The 19,756-nt window shown below is 39.9% G+C and overlaps 2 annotated features.

The window, feature by feature from the left end:
• Positions 4,237-4,939: an enhancer, noted in NCBI's record as "NANOG-H3K27ac-H3K4me1 hESC enhancer chr12:4559670-4560372 (GRCh37/hg19 assembly coordinates)". NCBI's record gives its function as "activates a minimal SCP1, AML or CMV promoter by ChIP-STARR-seq in primed H9 embryonic stem cells {active_cell/tissue: H9 hESC(primed)}" and the evidence as "EXISTENCE:reporter gene assay evidence [ECO:0000049][PMID:30033119]".
• Positions 4,556-4,850: a silencer, noted in NCBI's record as "tiled region #794; K562 Repressive non-DNase unmatched - State 21:Repr". NCBI's record gives its function as "represses a minimal TATA promoter and a strong SV40 promoter by Sharpr-MPRA in K562 cells {active_cell/tissue: K562}" and the evidence as "EXISTENCE:reporter gene assay evidence [ECO:0000049][PMID:27701403]".

Raw genomic sequence — 19,756 nt, forward strand, 5'->3', positions numbered from 1 at the left:
GGAACACTGAAAGGCCAAACCCTTTCAGCAGGAGGGCACAGACATTCTCAGGGGGTGGGGATGGGGGTTGTTCAAGGAGCTTTAAGATTGTGGAGGGAAGGAGGGCAAGGGCAAGGTTTGCCTGCTCACTGTCCTGGTCCCGACATTCACCTGGGGTGGAAGTTGTGTCTGGCCTTTGACACAGCCCCCTGGCCATTCTCCCTGGATTTATCCCTGGCATGTGACTGATATTATTCCCATTTCACAGATGAGGAAGTTGAGGCTTAGAGAGGATAAATGACCTGCCCGAGTTACCATAGCTAATAAGTAGCAAAGCCAGAACTTCTAAGGTGTGCCTGAGTCTAAAGCCTGTGCATGTCTAATGCTTGCAGTAGAAGTTGGCTGGCCCATAGAGTCTGTTTAGCTCCTTAAATGCCAATAGCACATCACAGAGTTATTTCAGTAGCATAAAATGATTTATTTCTTAAAAAAAACTTGAGTGTCTTTGATGTACATGAGAACTTCTATATTTGCAGATAACTTTTGCTGGGCTGATATTACACTCAGAAACTAGTAAAAATATTTCTGCCAGGAAGTTATTCCTACACTGATTTATCTTATTCCCATATTACTTTTAAATAGATTACATGTCTAACTGAAGTGAGAAAAAAAATGTAAAGCTACCAGAAAACTCACTGCACAAATTTCTATACAATATAAGACAGAACTATTAATACGTCTCTGAGGGTGAATAAGTTAACAAGGGTCGCTGGGGAATTGAATTAACTTGAGTTAAAAATCCTGTTTCTTGTACTTCAATCCAGGCCTTAATCTGTTGGTGAGACATTAGCACTGATTTTGCCGGGATTGGAGAGAGTATGTGTGGGGTGATGACAGTGGCATACAGATGGATTTGAGTGTCCTGAGCAGTAGAGCTGGTCCCAGCAGGCAGCTCCCTTAGCCACACTCTACACCCACATTGCAGGCTGCAGGCAGCCTGGAAAAGCTCCTGGGGTGAGTTCCATGGCCCAAGGACTCTACTGAGGCACCACCGCCTTCCCTCTGATTCTAAACCTTCTGCTGTGCCCTGGGTCCCAGCCTCTGGTCTGTGGCTTCTACCTGCCTTCTCTCTGCCCTTCTGCCTCGTTCACTGGGTTCGATGCTTTGGTTCAAATTTCTGTCAAGCCATGTGTTTAGTGTTGCCCTAGACATGCCTTCTGAAATCCTGTGAAGCCCAGATGTCTGTCTTTACCCTCAGCTGGTAAACTGAATGGGGAGGGACATAGGCACCACTTGTTCCTACTGTCACCACGGCCCCCTGACTTCCCCATTGGCTTCCTCTCCCTTCCACTGCCGTTGTCCCATACCCAATCTCATCATCACCAGCACTGCCATTTCCCATGAGGAAAGATGATGCCTTATAGGCTCAGATTGAGTCTACTATGTAGGCCTTTGTTGGAAAACTGTTTTTAAAAATCCTTCTGCAAAGTAAAAGGTTCATGAATAATCCGAAGACAAAGTTGTCAACAAAAAGAACTTCACTTTGGATTTCCAGCTGGGTTTCATATAGTTAAGCTTTCATGGATGCAAGAGCAGTGGGGACACTTTCTCAGTGATGTTGTTTGGAATCTTGTGTTAATTATGCTGGTGGTCCTCACTTAGGGAAGAGACAGTCCAGAAACATGTTGGATGGTAAGGAGAAGTCAGTCTGAAGTTAACACTTGCCTTGGATAATCGGAGAGGTGCTCACCAGCAGAGCTCAGAATCTCTGTGGAATTTCTTGGAACCCATCCACTTTGGGACTGCCTTAGGAGAGAGATTAAACTATAACAAGGTCCATGTCATATACCAATAAAAATGGTAACGCTCCTTAGATTCATCTCTTCCTGGATTCCTCTCTGTGCAGAGGTTCTGGTTGATGTCTCATAAAGCAATGGGCTTTGGAATGGGGACACCTGGATTTGAATCTCAACTCCACCATTTAGTAGCTGTGTGACCTTAGGAAAGTTCTGGACCTCTCTGAGCTTATTTTGTCATCTGCAAAATGATATCATTACTTCCTAAGGTTGTTACAGTGACTAGCAATAATACATACAACTGGCCAGTGCAGAGCGCAGTATAGCTATTTCCCAGAAATTTCCCTGAAACACATTGAAAATCTCTCACCCAATTAAAGAGGACAAACCCAAAGTGAGAAAGACCATCTCTCATCTCACGGTGTGGGAGAGACACGTGGGCTTCCAGTTCTTCATTGCCATCCGCCACAGCATATGTTGTGATGGCTGCTAACATATGCAGAAGCAGGCAGCCCAGATTCCTCAAATGTTCTGAAAACCAGTGAGAGCCTTGGTGTCGTCCCCTGTTAAATTTAAAACTTAAGTAATTCATGCTATTAAAAAGCCTGGGTCTTATTTTTATCGGGTGATGCGATGAGGCCCTGTTCTGAATGTACCTCCCCTGCCTGTCTCTATAGCAACTTTACTGTGCTCATATAGCCATATATTTTTCCTGAAGGCTAATTAGGTTGACAACTGCTAGGTCTTCTTGGCTTACCAGATTTGCACTTGACCCTTCTCTTGGGGCTTAGGGACCCCTATGGATGTGAAGTGATAGAGAAAAGAGTAACAGGTGGAAGAGGCCTCTCTCCATGGACCCCTCTTGCAAATAGTTGGCCAACAGCCTTTGGGGATTGTCAATCACTCTCGCTGGATGAGCCAAGATCCAGTGGAGGTGAGTGGGAAAATACGTTAATGTCTATCTCCTCCCACAACAGGGTCCTTGTCCCCAAGGGGGATACCACAAAATACAGATTTGTCAGATTTGGCAATGCTTAGCCACACCAACCTTCCGCATCATCTGCATGGCAGAACTCCCTCCGTCACATCAGGTGGTTGCTCTCTGTGACTGCTGTGTGTTACATAATCAGGATCAAATGCCTGATGGGTGACCAAAAGGGAAAGCACATAAAACTCAGATGAGCCTCATCCACGTAGATTGTGAAAAGCTGTGCTTACTTGTACTTTTTACATTTGGTTTTGAAAAACTAGCATTTGCCTTTTTCTATAGATAATTTGGAAAATGTGGAAAATGATAAGGTGGAAAACAAAATAGCTGTTTGTGCTTAGTGTCTTTGTCTCTTTTGTCTCAAAGTCTGTCTTTGTGTGAGCTTGGCACAGCGGCCTTGAAGCCTCCCTGTATCTCCTCCCCATCTTGCTCAGACAGGCAGCTCTGCACCTATCCCTGGTTTTTTTAGTGGTAGAGATTGCTCACAGGATTTAATCGGCATGAGATGGACATGTGTAGAGATGAGGATCGAGGAAGGATTCCTGCCCTAGGCCTGAGCAAAGAGGGACATTTGCAGCTCATAAACTTGCTACATGAGGGAGAATTCAAGAGAAACAGTTTCAACTGATCAACAGTGTCCAGGTTGGACTTCCGCAAAGACAAGGCAGCCATTATCTTGCTAGCTATTCCCTGGGGAAACCTAAACTTTGTACTTTCCTAGTAGAACTCAACTTTTCCCAGGCCTCACCCACTTACACAGTGGGAGCCATTAACAGTTATAATCCACATTTCCCTAGTTCTTGCTTCTTCCAACTCATGTGGAACTTCACCCCACTACAAACCACCCCCAAGATATTTCTGCAGTTTCAGAGCATGTCTCACATATGTTCACGAGCATGTGACTGCTTCTGCCTGGGCACATTGCCAGGCACCTGCGTGGATCTCCCTGTTCTCCAGCCTTTCCACCTCCTGCTGGGCAGCCCGGGGGTGTTCCCTTTCTCACTATAGCTCAGCACCTGAAGCCCTCAAGGAGCCAGAACTGCTTTATGTTCTGTTTCAAAGCCAGGAAGAATACCTTAGTCCCCGTCTTCATGTTATACCTATTAAGGAAATACCTGGCCAGTACTACTCATGCCCTGGCAATCTGCTGATTTGAAGTTCTTTTCAGACTCCTTGCCCTGCAAAGGACTCAGTCTTGTTATGGGTTAAGCTGATCAGGTGGGATTCCCATTTCCTTCCATGTGGATTATTTTTCTGGAGGCCCCTCAACCCCTCAGACAAATACACTTCTGCTGGGGCCGGCCTATCTGCATTGTCTATATGTGTCTGAATCCTGGCTTGAGTTCAGACTGGAGACCCTGCCCCACTCCCAGAGACCCCTACAATGGGGAGGGAAGGAGCCCCTGAACACGCAGCTTTGTGGTCTGGTTGGTCACCAAGTATTTGCAGAGTTTTCTGGGAGAAAGATTCTCCTCTCCACACTAGCAGTCATCTTCTTGCGTTAAAGTGCTTCTTGATCTATCCCTTCAATCTGAGCCCCATGTGGCTGTGTCTCTCAGCATGACTTCCTATCTCCTAGCGCTGTCTTTCTTCTCTGTCTCACTCATGCTCTTCCCTTCCCCCTCCTTACTATGCTCCAGCCATAGATGCAAGTCTAGAGGCTCAGCCAACTGCCAAGAAAGCAGCGCCTCAGGGCTGGCTGACCACCACGGCCACACATCTCAGCTGAATCTGCAAAGGGGCAGAGGAGTCAGATAACTTTCTGGAACTTCGGAACCTAAGGGATTTTGGCTCCGCTCAGAGTTTTGCGGTTTCTCAGATTTGCCTCTCATGATCATCGTCTAATAATACCTGCTGCATGCTGAGGCGGGCATGCACCCTGCCAGCCACCATGCAAAGTTATGTAAAAGACTCAGCCCTTAGTGGCAGGCTCCCCAGTGTGACACAAAAAGGCCCTCCCTGTCCTGACCTCTCCCGGCCTCTCCAGCTCCATCCCCTGCCTCTCCCTCTCTGGGAATTTTTGCTTCAGCAACCTCAAATGGCCTGTTGTTCCCAGGCATACTGTGTGCTGTTTCTGCCTCTTGTTTTTGCTCAAAGTGTCCTCCCTTTGCCTGGTGAATTGCTTCCCTTTTAAAGAGTCAGCTTAAATGTCACCTCTGGAAGTAATCCCTGACAACCTTCCACCTGTCTCTAAACTGGATTCAGTGGCCTGTTCCCCTCCCTGCTTTCCCTGCCTCATTGATATTTCACGTGATTATGTTTGTCACTGCCCTTACTGGGTTTATAACACTCTGACAACCCTGCCTCATTGATATTTCGCATGATTATCTCTGTCACTGCCCTTACTGGGTTTATAACACTCTGACAAGGTGCTGACTTTGATAGTGAAATCCTTAAGGCACCAATGGCGTCTTACCTGTCTCTGTATCTTCAGAACGGAGCACCGTGCCCGCCATGCAATACAGTTTATGAAATGTTTGAATAAGTGTTGTTGAATTAAAGGCTTTAAATCCATGGATTTCACTAGACGCGTTATTCTCAAACAAGGGCCAGCCCTCTGTAGAGGAGTGATCAGAATTTTGGTAGGAGTGGGATATTAATTTGAAAAAAGCACTTTCAATATAATGATTTGCATTTTGTCATTTAAAATAGTTACATTGAAGAATTCTGCTTTCACTATGATGGAGAAACTTGTATTGCACTTGCACTCCCGTAATAAACAAGAAGAAAATGGGACAAATGAAACAGCAGTTTTTAAACATTGGATAACAGGAAGCACAGGACTCTGACCCCTGAAAAAAAGGAAACAAATAAGATGGACCCCATGATCGCATCTTCTTTCTGCCTGGAGGCACTCTCCAGATCTCAGAGCAGGAAAGGAGAACCTACACAGAGTGCAGTGGTGACCGTGAGTGGAGGGTTCAGAGACTGAAGTTTGGCGAGGCTAAGGCAGTCACAATTTGCAAAGCAGAGGAAGCTGCGTAGAGAAAGGGCTGCAGAAATCGGTATATAGGTTTGCTCTTGTGTTTGTTGCTGAAAGCAAAGCCACACAAGTACGGATGAAACTCCATGAAATTAGGAAAAGCACTGCCAGAAAGCAGTGAGGTGAGCAATCCTGAGTGCTCACACGGGGCAGCTTTGTTCAGACCAGCCAGGTGGAGAGGACTAGATGTTCTCAGCGGAGAGTATTCAGTACAGACCCCAGAAGGGTCCTGTCTTGGTAATAGGGATAAATAGGCTCTGCAGGAACTGGATTTATTCTTTTGCCCCAAATAACGAGAACATCGCAAAAACACATCAAAGAACAGTTTTCAAGACATTAGACACCAGGCAACAAAGAACAGTGATTCTTGAGAAATGAGAAGCTGAGATGAATCCTACACTTCTACCAGCTGACTGATTTAAGAGAGATTTCAGGCATGATGCAGGGAGAAGAAACCTTGTTGGATCCTGGAAAACACCTTGAATTGAGGAGATGAAGCTGACTGAGAAAGACTAAGGCAAAGAGGGCTTTCAGGGAAGAGTACCAGAGAAGAGAGAGCTGCACAAAAAAAGAAGCTAGAGATGCATTGAGGGACCCCCCTCAAGTGGTCACAGAGTACTGATTAGCACATGTGTACACTACCTGAGGCTGGAGAAGGAACTAGGGAAAAAGATTAGAGGGAGCAGTATCTGGAGCTCGTACAAGACTGGAAACAGTACCTGTTCCCACCAGCCAGGCTAGAAAATATCCTCATTCCTGGGGTGTTGGGTTGAGTCTTGCCTCGCTAGTGGGGAATAATTATCCTCAGACCAAATGCTGCTCTGATCCCACCTAACAAATACTATAAGCAAACACAAAAAGGATCAATCTGTTTTCAAGTATATTAAATGCACTCTAGGAAAAAATTCAAGAATATTTATAGAACATCAGGCCGGGTGCAGTGGCTAAGGCCTGTAATCCCAGCACTTTGGGAGGCTCAAGGCAGGCAGATCACAAGGCCAGGAGTTCAGGACCAGCCTGACCAACATGGTGAAACCCCACCTCTACTAAAAATACACAAATTAGCCTGGCGTGGTAACGTATGCCATAATCCCAGCTACTCAGGAGGTTGAGGCAGGAGAATTGTTTAAACCCGGGAGGCGGAGGTTGCAGTGATCTGAGATCATGCCACTGCACTCCAGCCTGGGTGACAGAGTGAGACTCCATCTAAAAAAAGAAAAAGAAAAAGAAAAGGAAATAGAAATAAAATACATACAGCCCTGAACAGGGCAAAATTTTTATATTAAATTGACATATAGTAAAAAATGCCAAGTCATGCAGAGAGGTAGGATAATATGAGTCATAATGAGGAGAATAATAATAAAGTTGAAACCAACCTGGAATTAACACAGATGTTAGAATTAGCAGACAGAGACATTAAAACGGTTATCATAACTGTATTTAATATGTTCAAAAAGTTAAAGAGAAGAAATGTTAAGTAGAGACATGGAAGATGTAAAAAAGATCCAAATTAAACTTCTGAAGATAAAAAGTACAATGCTTGAGATGAAAAATACACTGGACAGGTTTAATGACAGGTTGGACATTACAGTAGAAAGCATTAGTGAAAGTGAAAACATAACCATAGAAACTTTTCAACATGAATCACAGAGAAAAAAATAATCTAAAAAATGAACAGAACAGACTTCTGGGTTATGGTCCGGTATATAAGTAGCTTGAAAGTTGTCATTTGATCCTAACAACAAGTAAAAGCCCAAACACACTAAAAAATAATCAACACTTTTTCTCAAATTTGTTAGAGAGATGATGTCATATGAGCTGTTGCTTGAAATACTGGAGAGACAGACAGGTGAATACAAAGAATCACAACTTGCTGGAGCAGACACCCAGGAGCTGAAACCTCCATGGAAACCAGAGCTGGGGCAGAGAAACCTGAGCTGTAATTGTTCAATTGTTGGAGGCTCAGTGAACAATACTGAGTGATAAAAACTCCATTGGAGGGTGGTTGGGGGCGGTACACTTTTGTGACTTTTGCCTCCAGAAGCTCTACTAGGTTCTCATGGTGGATATCAGAGAAATCTAGATCAAAAACACTGTAAGAGAAATGAAGAATGCCTTTGATGGGCTCATTAGTAGACTGGACGTAGCTGAGGAAAGAATCTCTGAACTTGAGGATTGACAATTGAAACTTAAAAGCAAAGGGAAGAATGAAAAAAACAGAACAGAATATCCAAGAACTCTGGGGCTACAGAAGATGTAACATATGCACAATGGGAAAGAAATAGAACCAATATTTGCAGCAATAATGACCGAGAATTTCCCCAAGTTGATGTCAGAAGCCAAACCACAGATATAGAAAGTTCAGAGAACACCAAGCCAAATAAATGGCAAAAACTACATGTAGGAAATTATATTCAAATTTCAGAAAACTGAAGATAAAAAAAAATCTTGAAAGGAGCCAGAGGAAAAAACACCTTACTTACAGAGCAGTATTGGGGCATACCCTGAAGTATGGTGCCTTGGCATGCTGATTACTTTGAACTGAAGGTTGGAAAGGTCTCAGGAGGAAGGTCTTTCTGACTTTCTTCTGCATTCCTATCTCCTGCCCCTCCACAAAGTGAGTCATAGGAACCAGAAAGAATCCAGCTGGGCAGGGTGGCTCACGCCTGTAATCCTAGCACTTTGGGAGGCCAAGGCGGGCAGATCAGCTGAGGTTGGGAATTCAAGACCAGCCTGACCAATATGGTGAAACCCTATCTCTACTAAAAATACAAAAATTAGCCGGGCTGTGGTGGTGCATGCCTGTAATCCCAGCTACTCAGGAGGCTGAGGCAGGAGAATTGCTTGAACCTGGGAGGCAGAGGTTGCAGTGAGCCGAGATAGTGCCCCTGCACTCCAGCCTGGGTGACAAAGGGAGACCCTATCCCGCACTCCCTATCCCCTACCAGGAAAAAGAATCCTTCTTCCCCAAGGTGAGTCATAGAAACTAGAACCCCTCTCCCCCAAAGCAAGAGATAAAAATGAGGAGGGTCACTCTCTCCCTTTTCTCTTCTCCCTTGAAGACCCTCATTCCAGAGAGGTCCTGCTCCATTCCTAGGAGGAAGGAAAGCTACACAGAGAGGCCAAGAAAAATCTGAACAGACAGGCATTGCCGCATTTCCCCTTTTCACTCTATCACCGTTAGATCACACCTTTTAGTCCAGTTCCATTTCTACTTGGCTGTCCATTCTTCATTGCACATAAGCACAAAAACAAAGTTTCTCCTGAGTCCTTGTGTCTTCATTTCTGAAGTCTTAATTTTTCTTTCATTTTTAAAGGATAATTTCACAGGGTACAGAACTCTAGTTTGGTGGATTTTTCTCTCAACACTTTAAATATTTCACTCCACTCTTATTTGCATGTTTTTTGAGGATGCCAGATATAATTCTTATCTCTGCTCCTGTGGGAACGAATAGATGTGATACCTTTCCTCACAAATCACAAGGTTCATGGCCAATGAGAAAAAAATGATTAATAGCAACAATGTATTCAATTATGTATGTTTATGTATGTATAAGATAATTATGTATACTTATGTAGAAATGAAATGAATAATTATACTATTATACAGTAAATGGGAGGGAAAAATTAGAAATGTTTTATTATAAGGTACTTACACTATCTGTGAAGTTGTATTGTGCTATTTAAAAGTGAACTTGGCCGGGTGTGGTGGCTCACGCCTGTAATCCCAGCACTTTGGGAGGATGAGGCAGGCAGATCACTTAAGGTCAGGAAGTTTGAGACCAGCCTGGCCAACATGGTGAAACCCCGTCTCTACTAAAAATACAAAAATTAGCCGGGTGTGGTGGTGCATGCCTGTAATCCCAGCTACTTAGGAGGCTGAGGCAGGAGAATTGCTTGAACCTGGGAGGTGGAGGTTGCAGTGAGCCGAGATGGTGCCACTGCACTACAGCCTGGGTGACGCAGTGAGACGCCATCTCAAAAAAAAAAAAAAAACCACAAAAAAAGTGAACTTGAGGATAGGCATGATGACTCACACCTGTAATTCTAGCACTTTGGGAGGCTGAGGTAAGAGGACTGCTTGAGGCCAGGAGTTTGAAACCAGCCTAGTCAACATAGTGAGACCTCATCAGTATTAAAAAAAAGAAAAAAAGAAAAAGTTAAATAAATAAACAAAGAAAAGCAAAAAGTAAAAGTGGGCTTGAATTTATTGTCAATGCATATTGCCAACACTAGTGCAACCACTGGAAAAAAAGTAAAAAAAAAAATAGTTGATATGCTAAGAAAGGAGAGAAAAGAGAATTATATAAAATATTCAATTAAAACTAAAAAAGGCATAAAAAGAGCAGACAACAAAAATAGGAACAAATACCAAGGACAATGAATAGAAATAAAGGTACAAACATGAGAGATATTAATTCAAATATATCAATAATCACTCTAAACTTCAATAGTCTAAATATACTAATTAAAAAACAAAGATTGCCAGAGTGGATCCAAAAACAAGACCCAACTACATGTTGTCTACAAGAAATCCACTTTAAATACAAAAACATATATAGATTAAAAGTACAGGAGTGGAGAAAGAAATACTCATTAACACTAATCAAAATAAAATGGGAGTAGCTATATTATTTCAGACAGTGCAGACTTCAGAGCAAGAAAACTTATCAGAGATAAAGCAGGACATTATAGAATGATGAAGGTGTCAATACTCTAAGAAGACATAGCAATTCTTAATAAATGAATCCACTATTATAGGTAGTGACTTCAGCACCCCTCTATCAGAAATAGACAGTTCTAGCAGGCAGAAAATCAGTAAGGGCATAGTTGAACTCAACAGCAACATCAATCACCTGAATATAATTTACATCTATAGACGACTCCATCTAACAACAGCAAATTTCACGTTATTCTCAAACATACGTGGGATATTCACCAAGTTAGACTAAATTCTGGGCCATAAAACACACCTGAAAAAATGTGAAAGAACAGAAATAAAATAATGTCTGCTCTCAGACTGTAATGGAATTAAACTAGAAATCAATAACAGAACTATAGATGGAAAATCCCCAAATAATTGGAGACTAAACAATGCACTTCCAAATAACACATGGGCCAAAGAAAAAATTTCAAGATAAATGTAAAAATACTTTGAACTAAATAAAAATGAAAAGACAACTTACTGAAATTTGTGGGATTCAGTGAAAGCAGTGCTTTAGGGAAATTTACAGAATTGAATGCATGTATTTGAAAGGAAGAAATATCTAAAAATCAATAATCTAGGATTATTGATTTCACCTTAGGAAACTAGAAAAAGAATAGAAAATAAAATCCAAATAAAGAGCAAAAAATAATAAAAATTACAGTAGAAATTAATGAAATTGAAAAGAGAAAATCAATAGAGAAAACCAACAAAATCAAAAGCTGATTTTTGGAATGGGTTGATAAAATATATAAGCCTTTTGCCAAGCTAACTAAGAAGAAAAGAGAAAAGACACAAATTCCTAATGTAAGAAATGAAAGAGGGCACATCACTACAAGTTCCAAGGGCATTAAAAGGATAATAAAGGAAAATTATGAACAACTCTATGCTCACAAATTTGACAACTTAGGTAAAATTAATCAAGTCCTTAGAAGACACAGTCTGCTAAAACTAAAACAAAAAAAAAAAATAGACAACCTAAATAGGCCTATCTCTACTAAAAGAAATTGAATTAATAACTAATAATCTTCTAAAACAGCACTAGGCCCTTACAGATTTATCTGGTGAATTCTCCCAAACACTTCAGAAAGAAATTATACCAATTCACTACAAACTCTTCCAGAAGATAAAAAGAGGGAATCTTTTTTAATTCATTCTATGAGGCCCACATTACTCTAAACCAAATCCAGACAAGGACATTCAAGAAAAGAAAATCACATACTAACATCTCTCATGAAAATCGATGCAAAAATTCTCAGTGAAATATTAGCAAATTGAATTCCATTAATTTATAAAAAGAATTTTACACCAGAACCAAATGCAGTTTATCTGAGGTATGCAAGTCTGTTGCAACATTCAAAAATCAATTAGTGTAATCCATCATATTAATAGGCTAACAAAGAAAAATTACATAATTATATCATTAAATGCAGAAAAAAGCATTTGACAAAATCCAACATCTATCCACAATAAAGAAAACTCTTAGTTTACTAGAAATGGAGGAGAACTTTCTCAACTTAATAAAGAACATTTACAAATGCCCAAGAGTTTACATCATACTTAATGGTGAGAAACTAGACGCTTTCCCACTACTGTCAGAAATAAGGCAAGGATGTCTCCTTTAACCACTGCTTTTCAATTCATACTGGAAGTTCTAGCTCATGCGATAAAACAAGAAAAGAAAAGGTATACAGATTGGGTAGGAAGAAAGAAAACCGTCTTTGTTTGCAGATAATATTATTGTCTGTGGAGAAAAACTTTAAAAAATCAAAAAGTCTCCTAGAACTAACAAGCAGTAATAACAGTTACAGGATACAAGGTTAATGTACAAAAGTTCATCACTTTCCTATATGTCAGCAATGAACAAGTGGAATTTGAAATTAAAAACACATTATCGACTAGGGCGGTGGCTCACGTCTGTAATCCCAGCACTCTGGGAGGCCGAGGCGGGCAGATCATCTGAGGTCAGGAGTTTGAGACCAGTCTGGCCAACATGGTGAAACCCCGTCTCTACTAAAAATACAAAAAAACTTAGCCGGTCGTGTTGGTGGACACCTGTGATCCCAGCTACTCGGGATGCTGAGGCAGGAGAATTGCTTGAACCTGGGAGGCAGAGGTTGCAGTGAGCCAAGATCGCGCCATTGCACTCCAGCCTGGGTGACAAAGCAAAACTCTGTCTCGAAAAAAAAAAGTATTTACATTGGCACCCCTAAAGTGGAAATACTTAGATATAAACATAACAAAATATGCATAAGAGCTTTATGAGGAAAACTACAAAACTCTAATGAAAGGTATCAAAAAATAACAAATGGAGAGACATTTGATATTCATGGATAGGAAGACTCAATATTATCAAAATGTCCATTCTTCTCAACCTGATCTGTAGATTGAATGCAATATCAATTAAAATCCCAGTAAATTGTTTTATAGATATCAGCAAATTTATTCTAAAGTTTATATGGAAAAGCAAAAGACCCAGAATAGCCGACAAAATATTGAAGGAGAAGAACAAAGTCGGAGAATAGACAGGACATCAAGACTCACTATAAAGCTATAGTAATTGAGACAGTGTGGTACTGGTGAAAGAAGAGACAAACAGATCAACGGAATAGAATAGAGAGCTCAAAAATAGACTGACATAAAGATAGTCAATCGCTTTTGACAAAGGAGCAAAGGCAATATAATGGAGAAAAGGCAATCCTTTCAACAAATGGTGCTAGAATACTTGGACATCCATGTGGAGAAAAATGAATCTAAACAGACCTTATACTTTTCACAAAACTTTACTCAAGATGGATCATAGATCTATATGTAAAATGCAAAACTATGAAACTCCTAGAGTATAACATAGGAGAAAGCCAATATGATTTTGGATATGGCAGTGACTCTTTAGATGCAACAGGAAAGGCACAATCCGTGAAAGAAATAATTGATAAGCTAGACTTCATTAAATTAAAAACTTCAGCTCTGTGAAAGACAATGTCAAGAGAATGAGAAGACAAGCCACAGACTGAAAATACTCGCGAAAGACACATCTAACAAAGGACTGTTATCCAAAGTACACAAAGAAATCTTAATACTTAACAATAAGAAAATGAACAACCTGGATGAGAAATGTACCAAAGACCTTAACAGATACCCCACCAAAGAAGATATACAGATGGCAAGTTAGTATATGAACAGATGTTCAACATCATATGTCATTAGGGAATTGTAAATTAAAGCAATGAGCCATCCCTACATACCTATTAGCATGGCAAAAATCCAAAATACCACACAAAATGCCGGTGAGGATGTGGAATAATAGCAACACTCATCCATTGCTGGTAGAAATGCATAATGGTATAGCTACTTTGGAATATTGTTTGTAAGTTTCTAAAAAGAACAAAACATATTCTCACCAGCAATCACACTCCTTAGTATTAACCCAAATGAGGTGAAAACTTAATGTCCACACAAAACTTGCATGTGAAAGTCCATACCAGCTTTATTCATAATTGTTAAGACTTGGAAGCAATCAATATGCTCTTTAATAGGTAAATAAGGCTGGGTGCGGTGGCTAACGCGTGTGATCCCAGCATTTTGGGAGGCCGAGGCAGGTGGATCACGAGGTCAGGATTCGAGACCAGCCTGGCCAATATGGTGAAACCCCATCTCTACTAAAAATACAAAAATAAGCTGGGCATGGTGGTGCATGCCTGTAGTCCCAGCTGCTCAGGAGGCTGAAGCAGGAGAATCGCTTGAACTCGGGAGACGGAGGTTGCAGTGAGCCGAGATCACACCACTGCACTTCAGCCTGGGTGAAAAAGTGAGACTCCAGCTCTAAAAAAAAAAAAAAAAAAAGTTAAATAGATGAATAAACTGTAGTACATCCAGACAATGGGATGTAAACAAACAAGCAAACAACAACAACAACAAAGAGCTATCAATCTATGAAAAGACACAGAGGAAACTTAAACACATATCACTATATCACTAAGTGTAAAAACATAATCTGAAAAGGCCACTCCTGTATGATTCCAACTATATGACATTCTGGAAAAGGCAAAACTATAAAGACAGTAAAAAGATTAGTAGTTGCTAGGGGTTGTGGGGTGGGAAGGATGAATAGGTAGAGAACACAGGATTTTTAGGGCAGTGAAACTATTTGGTATGATACGAAAACAGTGGATACATGTCATTACACATTTTTCAAAAGCCATAAAGTGTACACTACCAGGAGTGAACTCTTACGTAAGTTATGGACTTTGGATGATAATGACATGTAAAAGGAGGTTCATCAATTGTAACAGAAATACAACTGTGATGCAGGATGATGATAGCGAGGGAGGTTGTATGTATGTAGGAACAGGTGATATATGGGAACTGTACTGTGACCCTAAAACTGCTCCGAAAAAAACTAACATTTCTGTTGAAGAGAGCATCATTTAAGCAACCTAATATATGTGTAATGGGAGTCTCTAATACAGGGGAAGGGATGGAAAAAATATTTGAAGAAATGCTGGCTCAAATATCCCAAATTTGAGGAAAACCATAAAGTCACGGATCAAGTAGAGGAAACATAAAGAAAACTATGAGGTGTGGGCCGGGCGCGGTGGCTCATGCCTGTAATCCTAGCAGTGTGGGAGGCTGAGGCGGGCGGATCACGAGGTCAGGAGATCGAGACCACAGTGAAACCCCGTCTCTACTAAAAATACAAAGAATTAGCCGGGCATGGTGGTGGGCGCCTGTAGTCCCAGCTACTCGGGAGCTTGAGGCAGGAGAATGGCATGAACCCAGGAGGCGGAGCTTGTGAGCCGAGATGGCGCCACTGCACTCCAGCCTGGGCAACAGAGCCAGACTCCGTCTCAAAAAAAAAAAAAAAAAAAGAAAACCAAGAGGTGTAACATAATCCAATTGCTGAAAAACTGGATAAAAAAATCTTTAAAAAGTTTCACTTTTCTTTTTTGTATATATTTATTTTTATTTTATATATAATTGATACATAATTATATATGTTTGTGGGGTACAATGTGATGTTTCAGTACACGTACACATTTACATAATGATCAAGGCAGGGTAGTTAGCATGTCTATTGCCTCGAAGCTTTATCATTTCATTGTGGTGATAACTTTCAAGATCCTCTTTTCTAGCTATTTTGAAATTTACTCTACATTGTTATTGGCTATAGTCACCACGCTATGTAATTGAACATCCCAACTTATTTTTCCTAGCTGTAACTTTATACCCATTGACCAGCCTTTCCTTGTTTGCACTCCCTCTCCTAACCTCTAACAGCCACTATCCTATTCTGCACTTCTATGAGACCAAGTCTTAGATTTCACATGTGAGTGAGATCATACTGTGTTTGTCTTTCTGTGCCTGGCTTATTTCACTTAACGTAATGTCATCCAGGTTCATCCATGTTGCTTCAAATGACAGGATTTCATTATTTTACATAGCTCAATCGTATTCTATTGTATATATATACAATGTTTTCTTACAAAAAAATCTTAAAGCATTTGGGAGGCCGAGGCGGGTGGATGACGAGGTCAAGAGATGGAGACCATCTTGGCCAACATGGTGAAACCCCGTCTCTACTAAAAACATAAAAATTCGCTGGGTGTGGTGGCACGCACCTGTAGTCCCAGCTACTTGGGAGGCTGAGGCAGGAGAATCACTTGAACCTGGGAGGCAGAGGTTGCAGTGAGCCGAGATCGTGTCACTGCACTCCAGCCTGGCGACAGAGCGAGACTCCATCTTGCAAAAAAAAAAAAAAAAAAAAAAAAGAATCTTAAAGCAACCAAAGGGAAAAACAAAGTTGAGGATGACCATACATTTTTGTAGGATATATTGAGAGCAAGAAGACAGGGACCAACATCGTTAAAATACTGCAAGAAAACAGTCAATCTAGAATTCTATGCCTAACAAAATATATTTTAAAAAGGCAAAATGATGACATTTGCGGCCAGTAAGAGTTAAATATTAAAGTGAGTCCTTTAGGAAGAAGAAAAATGATGCCAGATAGAAATGCAGACTACATAAAGGAATGAAAAGCACCCAAAATGGTAAATATGTTGGCAAATATATAAGATTTTTTAAAAAGTCATTTAAGTATATTTAAGACATAATTGATTAAACACAAATAATAACAATGTAGCGTAGAGTTTATAATACATGTAGAAATAGAATTTATGACAATAGCAGAAAGTTCAGGAAGAGACAAATGTTATAAAGTTCTTATGTTATACAGGAAGTAATAGAATGACACTTGAAGGTGGACTGTGATGTTAAAAATGTGCTATAAACTGTAAAGCAACTATTAAAAGAATAACAGACTTACAGTTAATAAGTCAACAAAAATGGGATGTTTAAAAGTACTCAGTTAACTCAAAGAAAAGCAGAAAAAGAAGAAAAAGGGAACAGAGATAAGACAAATAGAAAAATAGTGATGTTAGATTTAAACTCAGTCATACCAATAATCACATTAAATACAAATAGTACAAATATGTCAATTAACAGCTGAGATTGGCATATTAGATAAAACAGAATGATGATGTATGTTGCCTAGAACAAAGCCATTGTAAATATAAAGATACAAATATCTCAAAAATAAATCAAGAGACAGCTTGAGTGTCTAAAAGCTGGAGTGCCAAAATAGATTTCAAAGCAAAGAATGCTATAAGCAACAAAGAAGGTGATTTCATAATGGAAAAGGGGTCAAATAATAGAAGTGAGCATAACGATCATAACTATTTATGCACCTGATAGTAGAATTTTAGAAAACATGACGCAAAACTGATATAATTACAGAAAGAAATAGACAAATCCACAACTACAGTCAGAGATTTCAATACTCTGTCTCAATAAGTCATAGAACACGTAAACTGAAAATTAGTAGGGATGGAGGTTATCAACAAATCTTATCTAATATGAATTTCAAGAGCTCTCCATCCAGTAATAGCAGAATACTCATTATTTTTAAGGGCACATGGTACATTTACCCAAGTAGATCATGGCTTCACTGGTAAATTTTACCAAACATTTAAGGAAAAAATAATATCTGTTCTACACGAACTCTTCCAGAAAATTGATGAAGAGGATACTTCTCAATTAAACCAGCATTTTTACCACACCCAGATAAAAACGTTAGAATTAAAATAATAACAGCAAACAACAGCAATTATAGCCCAATATCTTTCATGAACATAGATGCAAACTTTTTTTTTTTTTTTGAGACGGAGTCTTGCTCTGTTGCCCAGGCTAGAGTGCAAGTGGCAGAATCTTGCCTCACTGCAAGCTCCACCTCCTGGGTTCACGCCATTCTCCTGCCTCAGCCTCCCGAGTAGCTGGGACTACAGGCGCCCGCCACCATGCCCAGCTAATTTTTTTGCGTGTGTATTTTTAGTAGAGACGGGGTTTCACCATGTTAGCCAGGATGGTCTCGATCTCCTGACCTCATGATCTGCCTGCCTCGGCCTCCCAAAGTGCTAGGATTACAGGCGTGAGCCACTGCATCCGGCCAGATGCAAACATTCTTAATACAATTTTAGCAAATCAGTTACAACAATATATAAAAGGATAACATATCATAACTTCATGGGATTTTTCCCAAAAATGCAATCTTAGTTTAACATTCAAAAACCAATGTAATTCACCATTTAACAAACAAAAAAAGGTTATGATAATCTCAATGTACACAGAAAAAGCATTTGACAGAATTAATATCCATTCCTAATGAAAACTCTCAGAAAATCAAGAACAAACTGGAAATGCCTAAGCTTGGTAAAGGGCATCTGTGAAAAACCTATTCTAACATTATACTTAATGGTTTAAGATTAAATACTTTCACCCTAATATTGGAAACAAGTCAAACATATTTGCTGTCATTACTTCTATTTGACATTATACTAAAGGTTCTAACCAGTGCAATTAGGCAAGAAAAAGAAGTAAAAGTCTTCTATATTGGAGAGAAAGAAGAAAAACTGTATTTGCAGAGAATATGATTCTCTGGAGAGAAAGTCCCAAGGAGTTAACAACAACAACAACAACACCACCACAAAAAAGTTGGTAGTATAACGAACAGCCTACAAGTGAAATTAAGAAAATAATTCTATTCACAATAGCAGCAAAAAAAATGTAATACTTAGGAATAAATTCAGCCAAAGACATTCAAAACTTACACACTGAAAACTACAAAGGATTGCTGAGAGAAATGTTAAAAGATCTAAATAAATGCATAGTCATTTGTGATGGTTAATTTTGTGTCAACTTTGTTGGGTTACGGAGCGCAGCTATTAGGTCAAACATTATTCTGGATGTCCCTGCGAGGCTGTTTTTAGATAAGTTTACCATTTAAATGGGTAAACTTTGAATAAAGCATGCTCTCCTCCATAATGTGAGTGAGCCTCACCCAGTCAGTGGAAGGCCAGAATAGAACAAAAGGACTGACCTCCCCTGAGCAAGAAGGGATTCTGCAGCAGGTGGTCTTCAGATTAAACCTCTACCTCTACATGTACAAAACCAACTACGTATACAAGACCGTATACAAAAATCAACTCAAAATGGATTCAAGACTTAAACGTAAAACCCAGAACTATGAAATTACTATAAGAAAACATAGGGGAATTACTTCACAAATTGGGTTGGGTAAGGAGTCTTTAAATAAGACCTCAAAAGCACAAGTAACAAAAGCAAAAATGGACAAATGAGACTATATCCAACTAAAAAGCTTTTCCAAAGCAAAAACAAAAATAAAAAAAAAAACAGAGTTGAGACAACCTACAGAATGAGAGAAGGTATTTGCAAAGTATACATCTGTCAAGGATTAATATCCAGAATAGATAAGGAATTCAAAGAACTCAACAGCAAAACAACAACAACAACAACAAAGCAAAGCAAAACAAAAAAAGTCTGATTTTAAAATGGGCAAAAGACCTTAATAGACATTTCTTAAAAGAAGACACACCAATGGCCAACAGGCATATGAAGAAATGCTCAACATCACTAATCATCAGGGAAATGCAAATCAAAACTACCGTGAGCCACCATCTCACTCCAGTTAGAATAGCTGTTGTAAAAAAGATGAAAGAAAACAAGTGTTAGTGAGGATGTGGAGAAAAGGGAACACTTACACATTGTTGGTGGAATTGTAAACTAGTACAGCCATTATGAAAAACAGCATGGAGTTTCCTAAAAATATTAAAAGTAGAACTACCATATTATGCAGCAATCCTACTACAAAGTGTAAGTCCAAAGGAAATGAAATCAGTATGCCAAAGAGATATCTGCACTCTCATGTTTATTGCACCACTATTTACAATAGC

Source organism: Homo sapiens, chromosome 12 (assembly GCF_000001405.40).
Source record: "Homo sapiens chromosome 12, GRCh38.p14 Primary Assembly".
In the NCBI taxonomy this organism is placed as follows: Eukaryota; Metazoa; Chordata; class Mammalia; order Primates; family Hominidae; genus Homo; species Homo sapiens.